Source organism: Homo sapiens, chromosome 12 (assembly GCF_000001405.40).
Source record: "Homo sapiens chromosome 12, GRCh38.p14 Primary Assembly".
Lineage (NCBI taxonomy): Eukaryota > Metazoa > Chordata > Mammalia > Primates > Hominidae > Homo > Homo sapiens.
Window position 1 is genome coordinate 16,783,675 of NC_000012.12, and position 18,130 is coordinate 16,801,804.

Here is an 18,130-nt window from a genome sequence, read left to right on the forward strand (position 1 = left end):
CTTTCATCCTACTCATAGAAATCATATGTGATGCTGAAACATTAGTAAGCATCTTGCATCATTAGGATAAAATCACACCCTAGGAATGACCCTGTGAGCTTGCAAATTTAAGTACTACTAATATAATTCTGACTTGCTTTCTCTCTGTTAACTTAAAATGAGGAGAGTGTGAAAGTCTGGTTACTTTTTTAATGTACATACAGAAAGAAAAAAGTTCATTGTGGCCTTATCTTAAGACATTGATTTGTCTGGTCCAATCTCAGTTGTGGTGGATCTAGCCTCAGAAATTACCTAAGTACTGCTATTGCAATGTTTGGTAGAATCCTTTCTAATTGAAGATTGACTAATGTTGCACATTAACATCTGTCCTCTAAAGAGTAAGTAGCTTACAAATATCTGCCATGAGTGAAAGCAAGATAACAGGTAAGGTGAATATGAGAATAGCTTTGTACATATTGAAGAAAGTGTAAGAGTAGTAACAGTATCTAAATTGTGCAGACTACCCATAAGCATGTTTCCAACTGTTACAAATACACCTATTATGCCTGTTCAATGACTCCTGGTTCTCTGCACAGAGAACTGGAGGGGGCTGCTGGGGAAGGGGAAAAACAACCACCTCCATGTGGATCTCTGTTGTAAAATTCTAATTAATAAACTTTATTTTTACCTTGGCTTAAATCAGAAAAAAAGGATTCCTCTTAGTTATTTTGGAACAATTAGAATTCTCTTGCTCAGCAACCCCTCCCAAATCACATGATTACTTTGCTAGAAAGTTTAGTATACAAGACTTAGTATTGTATATAATTCTTCTATCCTTAAGAATTTGAATTCCTATATCTATGAACTGTGACTAATTTCTGTGGATAATAATTGGAAAATGAGGAGAGATTGGAATAAAGATAAAATGAAAAAAACAAATATTTAGAAGTGGAGCCTTGGGATAAAGGTGGCCATAGGAGATGATACACATACATTCCCATATAATTTAGGTAGGAGAAGCTGAGAGGTTGGCCTACAGTAGCTTATCTAGGGCAATCATTTTGTGTTCTAGGGGAAGGAAACAGAAAACTGAGGCATCTGAAACAGCAAAGTCTGCCGCTTTGCCTCTGGGACAACAATAAGACACAGAGAGTATGACCTTCAATTTCTAAAATCAGGTAGCCATTAAATATTTGATGAAGAAAAAATGGGGAAAAACATCTGCTGTTATAAATATTATCCGTAACAAACCACACGAATTTCTGAATATATTGTTGAAACACAGACAGTGAGATCCTGAAACAAATTTGGCCATCTAGGAAAGGTAAATTGAAATTGATTATACAATATTCATTAACATTAATTGAAGATACATAAGTTGGTATTTGGCAACTAGTAGGCTCTTTACTCAGTGTGCTTTCTTTACTGTGCTATATTAGTGAATTTTATGTTTTAAACATTTATAGATTTTCACAGAGATACTTGAGATCCTTAATCTCCCAACTCCATTTCTCCCATAGGATACTAAGTTCCTCATTCACAAATTCTCATACTAAAGACTGTCACAAACCCAGTTCTTCTGGAGAAAGAACTAATAATACCGACTTTGAAATGCTACATATTCTTAAATGAAATACACTCATGTTAAAAAATTAAGCACTGACATATATTCTAATACAAACATCATTTTTGCATTATTTCTTGCTCTGGGTTATCCAAAGTTTTTAAAAATTAGTTCTGAAAAAGAAAAAGTGGAGTACACTGTAGCCGACCTATATATACTTCCCAGTGAAGATTTGGAAGTATGTTCTCTTTAATAATAAAAACTGTTCCACTTAAGTCTTCTAAGATCATACTACTTAAACTAGAATCTGCTTAATCAGTAGATAAAGTCTTAAGTGGCATTTTTTTTTTTAAAGCCAGATTTTGTTTTGGTCGAGAGGAGGGGTGAAAGAAGACAGAGCTTAATTAACCAGACTGACAGGCTCCATAGATCTCTCAAGTGTTTAAATTAAGGATTGCAAGTTCTTGAAACTTGACAAGCCAGGCAGGATTGTCACTGCTGCTGTCTGAAGCAGAGGTAAGTACAGATTAGGCTTGTCCTATCTTTATCATAAGCATTTTGCCAGGATCCAAGAACTTAACACTATGAACAGACTTAAGGTTTTCTTTATTATTGGAAAGTTAAAGCAATAATTAAAATTTCACATTTTCCAAGTAAGATTACTCTTTTAGCAATAAATATTTGTTATTAGGCAGAACAGCATAATATGTATGAAATGTACATACACACAGATATATCCCTTTATTAAAGGAAATATTCATTTGTTCTGCATACTAGATTGCAGGTTTAGTGCATTCATATCAGATAGAGATCAACATGCATTGAATCATTGGATGTAGTGCTTAGGGGCTAGTGAATGTTATTAGCTCCCACCCACCTGGCCAGAGCTTTCCTGTGGAATGAGATGTGTCTTTTCAGTTATTTATTTGCTCTGTGTGCATATATTCACAAGTAGAAATATATACATATGCTTGGAGCATGTTCCACCACATTTGACATCTGGCAAGTCTCTATTATGAGACTTTTAAGGCTTCCAATGAGTAATAAAATGGAATTACAAGAAGAGGGTGAAGATGGCGAGTAAATAATGCAAATCATGGCCCACGAGCCTCTTTCTTTGAATTTAGGCAAGTGTCAAGTATGTATCTGCTGTAAAACATCTAATTCTAATATTGAACCAACTCCTGTTTATGTGCTAATTTCTGAATGATCAAAGGTATTTGATTATTAGAAATACACCTTTCAGATAATTGTGCATTAATACCTCTTTGCAGAGAAAGCTTTTTACCATGCTTACATTAAACAACGGCCTAAGCACATTAAATTTTTGAGGTGTTTGCAGAATGGGCATATACTTTATTCTTAAAAAGAAAAAAAAATTTACTTTCAAGAGGAAAAATGTTTTGGCACTCTCTGTCACCTGGCTGAAGAATAAAAAAAAAAAAAAAGGGAAGAAGAAAAAAGTTGCTGTGTGCAGTTAATATCGAACAGCAGCCATCTCCAGATGATCCCTGCTGCATCCAATTTCTGCCAAAATGCTTTCTGTTAAACCTCCATCAAACAGACACACGGCGCACAAAAGAAAACCTCATCACCAAGGGAAACTAATCCACCGGTGCGCAATGTAAGCCTGTCAACTTTTTATTATAAGAAGTCATCACTCATTTCAGTGAAGATTAAAAGTATGACTAAATTGAGAAAATCCTCTTAGCCATTTGGAATTTTAATAGAGGAGAAAAGGGGGTGAGTAAAATTTAGACTCTGTGCGTGTGTGTGTGTGTATTTATATATATATCTGTATCTGTGAGGTTGTGTGCATAAATATAAATATACACACAGTATACACATGCATATGCGTATAGACACATACACATCAACATTTGTATATACACATTATTTGGATGAATGTAGGTAATTATGCATATAACTTCAGCCCCTAAAAAAGGAAAAGCTACCAAAAATTCATACATAAACATGTAGCCTTGTAGTAGGTTTTCTCAGTTACCACAGACAAACAGTTTCTGATTCAGAGAAGCTTAAGAGATAAGAATGGAAAATGAGTCCTCACAGCTTTAATTACATCGCCACTGGCAACAAGGTGTTACAGTGGCAGAATGACAATTGCTTTTACTCAGAGTATAGATTCAGGGTCAATACGCTATTTCATCCTAGTACACCAGAGCAGATGAGCACCATGTTGTTGCTATATTGGCCTTGCCATACTTCTTGATCCCTGCAGGTAAACTTAGTCTGATGTGCAATTAGAATTACAGGAGATGGTACGCATCTGCAGTGAACTAGAGCTGGGTTTTCCAGATTATATTGAATGCGGTGTGTTTCACTTAAGCTGTCATTGAAGATGTGGGTAATCTTTTACATTTAAAGACATAATCATCTTCCCATTTCAAAGATTTCACCTGTGTGAAAGCACAATTATTCCTCCAGTCAGTTTGCAGTTTGAAAATGATCAGCTGTTATTCCTGAAGTCCTAAGTTAGCTTTTTAAAATTCAGAGAACTTTACATTTGTATAACTCCTCCCATGCCTTGGTCTATTTTCACAGCACAGGAATAAGGTTGCACAAGTTAGATATTTGGTTTCTAGTTTCTAGCAGTAATCCTCAACATAAGTCCACATGATCCTTGGAGAACAAACAAGTAAGTCCCGTCACTTGCCAAGAAGATAAACTACAACTGTATCTTACCTTTATGCAGTTACACGGGCACCAACTGGCAGTGAAGTGAGTTGAAATTCTTCCTGCAAATCACTAAAGACCATGTACGACCAGGAAATCTGCCTCTTAAAGGATAGCAGAGCAGTGATGCTGACACCTTTGGGAGAAGATGGGGAACCTGTCAGCAGTTTCAGCGTCTTCTGGCCCTTTGATTAAACTCTTCCCACCCCCACTCCCAAACTAACTAAAGCTTTTTGCTATTCAAGTAGTGGTAGACAACCAGTGAACTGTTTCTGCTTGGAGAGCCTACTTTACTTTCCATAACCTTCCTTTCTATCCAATGAAAAGCAACTGTGGCCTTTTACTAAGTAAATGAGCAAATATTTTCCCAGTGTTCACCAGGTTAGATCCCCATTTAATTAAACTGGCTCATTATGTCCCTATCTGATTAGCAGAGTAGAATCAATTATTCAATGCACAAACATGGCTGCAGGAGCTAGAGGTGTATACAGAGCTGTTCATTTAATTCCAAGGACACTAATTAGGTACAAAGCAAGCAATAACTTTAACAATTGCAGGCACAAGCATACATGCAGTACAGGACAAGGGGAAGAAAAAAACAGGCCTTCATTTTCTTAATAAGCTGGATTCTCTTCCCCCTAACAGGGTCAAGAAAAAACAGAAAGCGAGAGAGGATGAAATGTAGATCAAGAAAGCTAAGCATCCAGGAAATAACCCTTGGGATTTGCATATGTAATGGTGTGCTGCTACTTTTGTACTTTATAATCAAACAGTAGGCAATTATCCAAATTATTGACAGCAGATTTCTCATTTCAACTGCAAATTAAGGCCATTAATAAAGCTTTCTAATGCAAAAGTGACTAATTAACTAATGGAATGGAACTCTGAAGCTGTGATATCAAAACCAGTCCACCACATATTGTGGAAACACAGGGGAACTAATTAGTTTAATTATCAAAACAGCTAATTAAAATTACACAGTTCCCTAATTAGTTCTTTGCGTTTTTTCTCTGGTTTAATTGACAGGATGGAGTTAAATAGGTAACTGGTCTCAAAGAGGGAAAGGGAAAAAACCAGGAATAGCTTCTGCTGAATATTTTAGCTGATGTTATCTCATTCATGTGGCAGACCAGTAACAGGAAAATAAATGACTCTCATCCTTTTGGTAAGCAACTCCAAATTTTCCAGACATAAATCTGCCCTCGGAGTAAGCTATCTGAAGAGATTTTCATGAAGTTAAAGGGCTGGGACGTCTTGATGCCTCCAAAAGGTCAGGGCGAACACATATTTTGGAGGAGGACAGCATGTGGTTTTTCTTCAGGAAGTTAATTTTTCACTTAGTTTAATTTACACTGTACTGTATGTGTGGTTCCGTAATCACTGCCAAGGGACATGTAAAAATGGCTTAGATAGCAGAGCCGCTTCTGAGCCTGACGGTGCTGAAACGTAGCGTGCGCTGGTGGCACTGAATCGAGATGCAAATCAGGTGCCATTCTACAAGATCTGAAGACTTTCTTAAGCTAAATTTTTGATGCTGAGAAATGAGACTAAGAATAGTAATAAAATAATAATAATAGAAAGTCTTTTCATGGACTGTCAAGGACCTTTCCTCCACAATGCTGAAGAAATGTAGTCAAATCAGGCTTTCTCTATCATTTCAGCACTTTCGGTGCTGGTCAGCACCCACAAACCCAAAACCAGGTTAATTTTAAGCTGCTGTGGCCCTGGGACTTTCCAAATCACAGAACTTTTTTGACCAGAAGAGAGCTAAAGATACCAGAGAACTCATTCTTCCATGTATACATGAATTGTATAAAAACCTGCCCTGCTTTCTGATGGCTTCAGAAGACATAATATCAGCTACTGGCCATATATGGCAAATATTTCAAAACATAGTATCTATCTTTTAGCTTTGAACAAGAAGAAGAGATGAGAATATGAACAGTTTATTGTTCAATGACTTTTCTGAAGCTTTCATTCTTATATATATGGCTCATATTTTACAATCCTACAAATAAATCTTCCTGTTTTGTGCCCTGTGATGGCATTGCACCTAATATCAAAATTTTTTCTATGGAAGTTTGGTTTGGAAAAGTGAAGCATGATTGAGTAGGTCTTCTCACATCTGGTTCTTCTGCCTTCACTTTGATTTTTTCCTTTTTTAATTTTTTTTAAATTCATTAATTGGTTGTAAAAGCTGATAACAAACTAAATGTGGACAGGTTAGCACAATTCTATACTCAATGATGATAAGTTATATATTTTTAACCTATTATGCTATACTTGCTATATGTAAAAGAGTAGGATTAACATATATATGTGATAAAGCAGAAAATAATCCCTCATTAATCCACCACAAAGCTTAGGAGCTAAACATGGCTGATAGCATTGAAGTTATCTGTACATCACTCATCCCATTGCCCTGCTTTCTACCCCAGCTCAACTAGTTAGACACTACCCTGGATTTTATATTTATCATTCTTTATCACACATGTGTGTACCACTGAAAGAGATTACTTAGTTTTGTTAACTAAATTAACATATTATAATGAATACTGGCTATAGATAGCCTTTAGAAGATTGCTTTATTTCACCTAACATAACTTTTCCAAGACTCATCTACGTTGCTGCAGATAGCATTAATGCATATACTCTCACACTGAACAACGTTCCTGTGCATGGATAAACTTCATGTATCTACTCCTTTGTTGATCACTTGGAAAGCAATTTGCATTGTCCTAAAACTGAGAATGCACACGTCTTATAACCCAGCAATTTCATTAGAAATATATAGAAATGTCTTTATAGTAGAATGTTTATAAGTGCATTATCCCTTAATTATGGTTTGTAATTAATCTTTAATAATTACATATTATTGTTACAACCAACATGATCAATAGTGTAAATAAGAGGGTTTAGAAAGGTTGTAGAGATGCCCTGCAGATTGAAAAGGATCATTAGTTCGATGTTATCTAAATTATTTAGCATTCAAAATTCAATAAATATTTTTTGAGTACTCTTCAGGTATCAAAGACTGTTCTGTTTGTAGGGAATATAGCAGTGAATAAAACAGAAGTGGCTGCTATTATGAGGCCTTCATTCTATTATAGGACATAGACATTAAATATACAAATAAGCAGCATTCTATGAGGTAGTAGTACCTACATTACCTCACTATAGATCTATAGATAAATACAAAGCAAAATAAAAGAATGGAGAATAAAGGCATTTCTAGTTAGGATGGCATAGACAGGAAAGATCTGTCTGTGGAGATGGCATTTAAATAGAAATATCAGTGAAGGCAGGGAAGAGCTCATGTGTTTATCTCAAAGAAGAGTTCTAATCAAAGACGATAAGGTTCAAGTATATTTTTACTGATTTAGAAAAGAAATAAGGATATTATTGTAGATAAAATGGAATTAGTAAGAGAAAGAAGGATCAGATATAATTTTGGAAAGTTAGGCCAAGCCCAGATTGCAAAGGGTTTTTCTAGGCCTTTCTGGACTTTGCCATTTATTCTGGGTGTGAATGAAAGGTTACCACTTGAGGTTGTATATATTTTGTGTTTCAAAAACATATTGATTTATATGTGGAAGAAAATCTGTAGTGGGACAAGAGTGGAAGCAGCTTGGATAGGCATGACTGTCATTAGATGAGACAAGAAGGGGCTTGGGATATGTGGTTGCAGTGGAGCTGGTAAGAAATAATCAGATAAGGGATACATTTTGAAAGCAGAGCCAAAAGGTTTGTTCGTAGATTGCTTGTAAATACATTAGAGGGAGAAGTCAGGAATAACTCCACATTTTTTAGCCTGAGCAAGTAGTTAAAGATGATATTACAAATACAGATGGAGAACAATGAAGTAGGGGCAAGTTAAGGAAGAAAAATCAAGTGTTTGTTTTGGACATACATTTTAGATATAGGTATCTATTAGACAGATGTGCAATTGGAGTGAGCTGTCAAGTAAATATTAGATAAGTTAGTCTGGAGTTGAGAGTAGAGCTCAGAGATGGAGATTTAAATTTATATTGGAAGTCAACAGTTGAGTTGATACTTAAGGGAATGGGATTAGATGAAATCACCTAAATGGTTAGTATAGGCAAAGAAGAAAAAGAGACACAAAGAGTGAGCCTCACTGTAACTGATTGGTTGCATTAAAGATCTCAGATCATCATCCCTTCTCCTATACACAATCTTCACCATGTATTTTGTGGGACCCTTCCATCCTAACTCTGAGCTTAGAGTTGCAACTTGCTTTGACATTGCCAAGTTATGCAAGCAGAGGGTTGTACATTTCTGCTCATGCTCCTTATACTCTGCCCTTACCATGAGAAGATATGCCTGGGCTAGCCCCTCTGATCCCAGAAGGGGGAAGGTAGATACAAGGTCAACCCACAGGTGCATGAGTGAGCCCAGCTGAGTGCAGTCTTAGAGATCAACTAAACCCTACAGGTAAGTGAGATATAACTGTTTATTGATTATTGAGTCTGAGTTTTAGAATGGTATTCAATGAGCATTATTGTAGCAACATATAACTGATACATGAGGAGTACTGTAGTATTTAGAGATCTGGACAAGAAGGAAGATTCACAAAGGATACTGAAGAAACCACATTGAGGAAAGCCAAGACAAATAGGGTTCAGAAACCCAGGAGGTGAAAATGTTTCAAGAAGAAGGAAGTGATCCACTGTGACAAATTCTACTGAGTTCATGTAAGATGAATGCTGAGGATGGATTATTTGGCAAATGGATTTTGTTATTGCCTTCATTAAAAGTGTTGAAAGAACCTAATTCAAGTAAACTGTAGAGAAAAGGGTAGGTGAGTAAGTTAAGATAATTAAGAATAGTGATTTTTGCTCTAATGGGCAGTGGAGAAATGGGCTCATGCTTGGAAGGGGATGTGAATCCACAAAAAGAGTTTTGTTTTAGATGGTTCTATTTTGTTTTAGATGGTTCTATTATTGACTGTTTATATGTAGATAGAAATCATTTAATTCAAGGAGGGAATAAAAGAGATGACACAGAAGAAAACAGAGACAATTATTATAGAATAACTGAAATTTTGAGTAGGTAAACTGGAATAAGATCCAATAAACAGGAGATGGGCTTAATGAGCAATTCAGCCATAGCTACAGGTCTGAAGGCAAAGTACAGAGGGGGTTAAATGAAGGTACGTTGGTAGACTCGCTAGTAAAACAATAAAGTTTCCTTCCTTCATAGTGCTTATTTTTTTAATTAAAGAATTAAGGAGTAAAATCATCAGCTAAGAGTGAGGAAGAGGTATGCGGTAGACAGAATTCTAAGATGATACCCAGTGACGCTTACCCTTGCATAATACTCTCCTCTTTGAGCATGGGTGGAACCAGTAATATGAGGAGATACCACTCCTGTCACTCTGTTGTTACAGGGCAAAAAGGAGATTGTCTGGAGTGGACCTTGACCTAATGTAGTTAGCTCTTTACAAGCAGAATTTTTTTTCCTCCCCATTTTGTCACAGAAGAGAAAATTAGAGTGATGTATTTTAGCTGATCTCTAAGAAAATAAACATTCATGTCATGAGCTGCCTATGGTGGCCACATGGTAAGGCACTGTGTATGGCCTCTAGGAGCTGAAAGTGGTCCCTGGCCAAGAGACAGCGCTGAAATGTGGACCTCCATCCTACATCTGCAAGGAAATGAATTCTGCCAACACCAGTGACCTTGAAAGATGCCCTCAGTTTCAGATGAGAACCGCAGCCCTGGCCAACACCCTCATATCAGTTCAGTAAGATCCTGACCAGAGAATTCAGCCAGGCCATACCTGAATTTTTGACTACAAAAACTGTGAGATAATAAACATGTGTTGTTTTAAGCCTCTAGGGTTGTGGTAATTTGTTACATAACCATAGAAAAACTAATACAGGGTGTTAGAGGTGTAAATACAAAGAAAAACGCATCTCAGAGAAAGGAGAAAAAGCTGACTGAAGAATATGGAGAATACTGGGCAGGATAGGGAACCCATTCAAAGTTTGCAGTTGAAAATTTAAAGTGAGATTCGTTAGAATTGGGAGCTTAGATAAAGACACAGAATAGGTTAGGAGTTAGATTTAACTCAGCGGATTAGCCAGTTGAACACATGTAAAGAGAAGGAGGCAAGGGAGAGAAAGTTATATGCAAAGTAATGATGATTATGTTAAACCAAGTTATTTAAACAGATAGCAGGGAAGTGAGGAGCAGACAGGGTAATATGCAGTGAAAACTTGTGTTCCACCAGCTGAACATCTCAGTGAGGCTTCCTCACTTCTTAGGAAGGTTCCTAAGAAGTGGTTACTCATGAGAGTAAGCTGAAAAGATAGGAGGTTGCAATTAGAAATTACTTGGCCCTTAGATCTTATTTTGATAAGATCCTTTGTCCATCATGCATCACTTACATGAGTTTTGGTCTAAGTATTCACTACTTGGACTTCAGGGCTCTTGAACCTCCCCTATCTGAGTGGTGCTGCACCATTTAGCAGTCCCTTCTCCCAGCTTAAGGGTACAGTCCTCTTGAATACAGAAGCCTTCTTTCAGGAAAAATTTGGCTATTAGTCACACATACCTTACTGTGAGTGTTAGCAATTCAAATATTATCCACGGTTTTGAAATAAAACTTTTGTCTTTGATAAAGGAAATGTTGATCTCAGAAATTCAGAAGAAAAAGGTATTTTTGTTTTCTAAAAACCAGAGGACTTTTGAGACGCCTCTAATACAGGAGCGGGCAAACTAGGGCCTCTGGGCCAAATCTGTCCCACCACCTGTTTTCGTAAATAAAATTTTATTGGAACACAGCCACACCAATTTGTTTACATATTGTCCAAAGCTGCTTTTGCACTACAGTGGCAGAGTTGAGTAGTTACAATAAAGGCTATGTGACATGCAAAGACTAAGGTATTTACAAACGAGTTTTTTTTCCAGAAAACGTTGCTGACCCCTGCTCTAATATCACCTCACATATCCCGGTTGAGTTTTATCCTTCTTTCTCAGCATCTGTGTTACAAATTCTTAGAAGTAGAAAAATAGAAAGTTGGGAAGATAACAACAAAAAAACGCAATGTACTATAGTACTATAGAAGTACTATGGGTTTTTGCCTGTAACTTTGGAAAAGGTGAGAGAAACTAAAGCAGTTCATGTGGGTGTCTGAACAATGATACTCTTTCCTCTATGCAGTGTTTCATGAGAAGGGAAGGAATTGAGGTTTGTGCAAGAAAGGGTAATGTAATCAGAACACTCTCGTATGTTGTGGCACGCCTTTATAATCTGGGATACTGCTCAGGTTTCTTAACCCTTTGTGTCAGTTTTTTTTTTTTTTTTAAAGACATTCATTTCTTCCTGGTGACCCAGACAGTGGTAGTATAGTTCATTTGTATTTCTACCATATAAACCTGATTATTTCCTGTATCTGTTGAACGATGGGTTGTGGATTGAGAGGTAAGGTGAACCAATATTTTGCTTCCTGTGATAAGAATATAAACACTACAGAGACACTCTCCTTAACCTTGTCTGAGGACAGCCAAAACTATACAAAACAACTTCAAAGCCACATCACAAAAGAATTCCAAAGGACTTCATCTTTCTTAAAGCAAAGCGAAGTATAGAGGTATATACACAATTATCGTTAATGCGACTTTTCTCCCTTTTTCTGAATCAGTTTTACTAGCATTTTTAAAAATACATATTTTACTAACATTCAAAGAAACATCTTTAGTTTTAATAATTATTTTGTTGGTTTTTATTTGGCATTTTTTACTTTTTGAATTTTTTTATCTGAAATGTTATGCTCTCTTTCTTCAACGTTGAGCTTACTCTGCTCTCTCTTTGAATTCATTGTGAGTATCCTGTTGAGTTTACATAGCAGATGGCCAATTTTTATGAATGTCCTAAGTAGACTTGAAAAAAATTGTATAGTCTCTATTCATTGATTACGGTGTAAGAAAAATTAACAATTTTGATTACATATTTATCAGTTGTGGTTTGAAAGTTAATCATTATGTTTCAATTATTTTAATGCTTCTCCTTACATTTTAACATGTATATTTAAGTCCAAAATCATTCATTCCCATTCTATTCTCCCCACAAACAATGTCAAATCCTTAAATATTTAACTCCAATACCCCTCTTTCATCTTTAGTGTTTTTATGTAGCATTTCAATTTCTTCCTGTTTTCTGAACTTCACAGAACTAACTTTTGTTTCATAGTCAAAGATAGAAGCTTCTCTTTTCTTCTGTAGTCTTTTATTCTGTTGGGAATAATTGAAAGTTTTCTGAGCCTCTCTTTTCTCTTTTATTCTCATATTTAATCAATCACTCTTGATTCAATTTCTTTATATCTCTTGAATATATTTTCTTTTTCTCCACTGTCATTTTACTCTCTTTCACAGAAGTAAAGGCTGCCATTATTTCTAGCCCAGAGCACAGTGGGGGCGCTTAATTGCCACCAGTATGCACATTTCTAACCCATTGTACCCACACAGCAGCCAGAATGGTACTTCATAACACAAACATGACCTCTTGCCTAAAATCATTCAGAGGTGCCCATTGCTTTTAGAAAAATCTAAATTCCTTAACATGTCTTAACATGCTGTTATCTCCATTTCTACAGCCTTGTTTCCACCCACTTCTCATGTTCATTCTGTTTCCAGTTGCTCTGAGTATCTTTCAACTTCTTGAACACAGCAGGCTGTTTCATCTCTGGGCTGCTACGTGAGTATTCCCTTCTAACTGGAGCTCTCTTGTCTGCTTTGGCTTGGCTAATTTTTATTCATCTTTCAGACCTCAGCTTTGAAGTCATTTGCTTTAGGAAGACTATTCTGAAGTAACTTCTAATCTAGGTACAGTGTTCCTAGTTGTTTGGTATTATACTACCTCTTCGTAGCTCTTGGCTGACTTGACTATAATTGCTTTTAAAAATATTCTTTCTTTCCTAGTAGACACTAAGACCTGTGATGGTAAGAATCCAGTCTGCTGGGCTTGGCATAGAAAATCACTTAATAAATATTTGGTTAATAAATGTTGAATGGATTTTCCAAAGCAGAAATTGTTAAATATAGATTTCTATCCTGGTAATATGCTTATGTGGGAAAAACTTATATTAAGAAATACACTGAAAACTACTCTAGAGGAGAAATTGGTAAGAAGTGTGTTTAATTTGTATCCTACCAATGGGGAGATATGGAAACTTCACAAATAAAGCAATAAGATGAGCAGGTGACCTTGCACCTAGATAATTACACTAAATAGAGAGCACAGCATATTCTCTATAATGATACAAATGGCAAGAGAATATTAAGAGCTATAGCAAAAGAGGGAAAATTGTAGCTGAATATTCTCTCTAGAACTCAGGGAATGTATGATCTTGAAATAAATCACTTAATCTCTTGATGTCTCATTTTAACTATTGAGTATATAATGAATGATTATTCTTAACTACTGCATGGGGTATTGTGAGACTTAATTTGCTAATGTTTATAAAGTGCTTCAGATTGTCTGATTAAAAGTATGAAGTATCATCATTATTATACTATAAAAGAGTATGTAAAATTTTATTTTAATTTCATAAATATGAAATTATACCTTGCTACTTTCACTTAAAATATTCTGAAATTCATACACACAGATTGGTACATGTTTGAATCTAGGTCTCCAGGCATTCACGTTAGCTGCTCTTATTTCTGTCTATAGACCTTGTCCGCATTTCTATTGTCCAGAAAGTTTACAAGACTTTGGCTGAAATAGACTTGAAAGGGTATACTCCTTTTTTGTTAAATTACAGTCCCCATAAGTTGAGAGTGCTGTATTATGATTGCTTTCTCTTTCATTTCAACCTTTCCTTCTTTGGCTAATTATTTTCTCATTTCTAAATGTGTTTAATTTTCTATAGAAGACAATATTCTTCCCACCCTGCAAATATCTTCTCAGTACGATTTTGCACCTGGTTACAGAAAGTTCACAGGTTGAATTACTTTTCCTTGAGGCAGTTTCCTGGAGCTCCATGTCCTGGTTTCTCTGACCAGGTTTCTGCCCAGCCTGCTGCAGACCCTGGAAGTGTGTGCCACTCCTGAGGTGATTCCTTGATTTTCTAAATTCATTACCTTCCTGTTTCTGGGTTTGCTACCTGTTCCTCCAGAATATTACTTAGAAATAGGTACACAAGGTGAAATTTTGGTAATACTGCCTGTGTAAAAATGTCATTATTTTATCTAAACAGTTGATTGACAGTTTGAATACACAATTCCAGCATGAAACCATATTCAATCCAAAGGTTATGCTATTTCTCCATTTTGTTCTAGTTTCAAATATTGCCACTTTTATTTCTGATCTTTCACATTTTTTCCTTCTGGAAGATTTAGGATCTTTTTATTCTCAATGTGTGAGCCTGAATGATAATGCATATGGGTGATATTTTTTCATTTATTGTGTTTGGCACTTGATCTGGCTACTTGTGTCCTTTGGTTATTTGAATCTTACGTATGGATCTTTGAATTCTTGGTCTGCATTTTCTTTCTGAAATTTTCATTACTGGATACTTGGAACCTCTGGACTTATTCTCTAATTTCCTTATCTCACCCCTCATGTATTCCATCACTTCATCTTTTCTATTTATTATGAGAAGTTTAATCATGGTTTTCAACTCTCACTTTTTAAAAAGAATTTTTTTTAGTTACTTTATCTTGAATATACAAGAAATATACATATTTATCTCTGGTTGTTTCTCTATTATGATATTCTGTTTTTATTTCATGTTTGAAATAACTTTTTTTAAAATTGTAAATAGATATGTGTGTATGCATTGTATATATGTACACAAATCTATACATATATTATGGGTATAGATACATATGAATGATATATACTTTATATGCTATATATCAATGGTCCTCAAATATTTTGGTCTTAAGAACCCAAATACCAAAAATTCTTAAGGATTTCAAAGAGCTTTTATTTATGTAGGTTATATATATTTATATTTAATATATTAGAAATTAAAGCTGAGCAGTATGTAAAATAGTTATTCATTTAAACATAACAAACCCATTACATGCTAACATAAATATTACTTCTATAATCTAACTATATTTTCTAATACAAAAAGAATATCATGAGAAGAGTAGCTTTTTGAATATATATATTTTTGCAAATCTCTTGAATATCTGGCTTAACAGAAAAGGGCTGGATTCTCATAGCTACTTCTGTATTCAATTTGTTGTGTTATCACATATTGTGTTGCCTCTGAAAAACTCCTCTGTACACCCAGGAGAGTATGAGAGTGAATAAGAAAAGAATATCTTAGTATTATTATGAAAATAGTTTTGACCTTGCAGGCTCCCTGAAAAGGCCTCAGGGACTCCCTAGGATCTCCAGACCACACAGTTTAGGATCTGAACCTGTTTGTACGATCACATGTGCGTGGACACATGCCCTTCTAAAAAAGTTATCTAGTCTTCATTTTCTTTTGTTTTATTTTTCTCTCCACTATTTTTTTAAAGGCTTTTGTTGGTTTTGTTTCGGTCTCTCTTTTTCATTAGAGACTTCTCAAATTTGATAGCAGTTGCCTGACAGCCCACATTTTAGAATAAAATAGTAATTGAACACTGTGTTTAGAGAAAGAATTTTCAAGGAGTGAGTTCATTCTGGGGCAGTGGTTCTCAATCCCATTTAAACATAATGCTCAATTTTTTTTTAAAAAAAGGCCAATATTTTATAAATCTGTATTTATTACCCTGAGATGTTAATCATAGCATACTCTTAACATACCAACACATATAATTTCACCAACAACAATATCATGCCACAGTTGTAATGTAAAAAGGAAATAAGCAAAAAGTGACTTATAATAAAATAATATGATTTCAATTTGTAAATCATCAGGCATAACTACTTTATGCTTTACTGTGGCTATAATGAAATAGATGCTTGCATATGCATGCAGAATCTCTGTGCGGGTGGCAGCTATAAATATAGGCTGATATAGGTGTGCTGATGGTTAATAATGACATCTTAAATATCTTGATTAGCATTGCTGTTTTTTAAAAATAAATCTTACTGTGTATATTTATGGTGTTCAATATGATGTTATGGGATACATACAGATGGCAAAATGATTCCTATAGTGAAACAATTTAACATATCAATTATCTCGCATAGTTAGCCATTTCTTTTTTTTTTTTCTGGCAAAAGCAGCTAAAATCTACTCATTTAGTATGAATCCCATATACACTACAATTTTATTACCTACATTCTATCATGTTGTACATTGGATCTCTAGACTTGTTCATCCTGCATATTTGCTACTTACTTTACATCCTTTGACCTACATCTTCCTATTTCCTGCCCGCCGTCTTTGACCCTACTAACCACTGTTTTATTCTCTATCTCTGTATACTTGACCTTTTTTTATTTGTTTGTTTCGGTTCCACACATAAATGAGATCATGCAGTATTTTTCTTTCCAGGTCTGGTTTATTTTATTTAGCATAAATTGTCAATCTTGTTGTGATAAATGGCAGGATCACCTCTTTTTTAAAGGCTGAATAATATTTCACTATATGAATAAACACCACAGTTTCTTTATTCATTTGCCTATTGATATTCATTATGTTAAATAAAAACAACCTAGGTTGTTTTCATAGCTTGGCTATTGTGAATAATAATGCAATAAACATGGAAGCGCAAATATCTTTACAAAGTGGTGATTTCATTTCATTTGGGTATATACCCAGGAGAGGCAATGTAGCATTGTTCATGTGATGTGATTTTATGAAATGGCGAAAAACTCTTGGTTAAACTCGAAACCAAACAATATACAATCTTGCTTCAATTTAAAAATTGCAATCTTAAAAAATGTAGTCTATGTTAAGGATATGTCAAAATATATATTTTATATGTCAAAATCTGTATGTTTATATGTAAAATGCAGTTCGCTCTTAGATTCATATAACTTATTTTTTCTTTTTTCTATATTATTGTCTACTTTGCTATCAGAAAGTCTTTAGGGATGGAATAACTCTTCATTGTGGAAAAACTCTTCATTGTGAGGGAGTTTTGTACATGAGAGAATGTCTGGCATCAGAGACTCTTACCTATTTAATGCAGCAGTGCTCCCCCAAACATCATGGCACCCTACCATTTCCAACCACTCCCTCAAGAACCCCTGCTCTGGGGTAAGCAGGTCAAGAGTCTGAATGTTGTTTGGAGAACTTCAAAGATTGATTCGCCCATCTGGTTTTTTTTTTGTTTCTTTGTTTTCTTTATCAGCCCCCCTCACTCTGACTACTTTTTCTCTTGGCCCTGAAACTCTCTGGTTCCATGTCTGGGGAGAATGGGGGATAACGGTGGGCTGACTGTCTGGGTGGAGATTAATGCTTGGGAGACTGGATACGTGCAAAGTGATTAGGACCTACCCAAGAGTCCAACTGCTTCTTATATAAACTCTCAGCCAGTTCTCAGGCTACAAACCATTATAGCCCTTGGGTTTCGTTATACTTGATATTTTTCAACATCCTACAGGGAGAATGGGCTTGTTTCTCTCCACTCTCTTCTCTGTATACACATAGGTTTCAGCATTCTCTTATCTACTTAGCCAGTTAGCACCCTTATATTTACTTTTATGTTCCAAAAATTTGTTGACCACTCTCATTTGCTATTGTCTTTTCCCTGAGCACCTCCTTAATATTTTTAAGATTTTTATTAGTTTAGACTTTTGGAAGGTAATAAATTTTAAGAAACAGTGTCCAATCAACCATATTGAATTGGAAGTCCCAAGTATTAATTTTGTAATGAGAAAAATCAATATTGTTAAGTCTTAGCTGAGACAAAGCATTTATGAAAAAGGAAGCCTAAGAGAGTTATTCTTTCTCAGTATTTTCTATACTTTAGCATC

General features: G+C 35.3%; 1 long non-coding RNA gene across 1 annotated transcript in view, besides 1 other annotated feature; it reads right to left on the reverse strand.

The window, feature by feature from the left end:
• Positions 4,100-5,714: an enhancer, noted in NCBI's record as "VISTA enhancer hs661". NCBI's record gives its function as "enhancer in: midbrain (mesencephalon)[8/10]" and the evidence as "EXISTENCE:transgenic organism evidence [ECO:0001131][PMID:17130149]".
• Positions 4,247-18,130, reverse strand: part of LOC105369677 (uncharacterized) — a 200,713-nt gene continuing 186,829 nt past the window's right edge. The window contains exon 6 of the long non-coding RNA XR_931397.3: positions 4,247-4,373. This is a non-coding gene — a long non-coding RNA (uncharacterized LOC105369677). The remainder of the gene's footprint in view (positions 4,374-18,130) is intronic.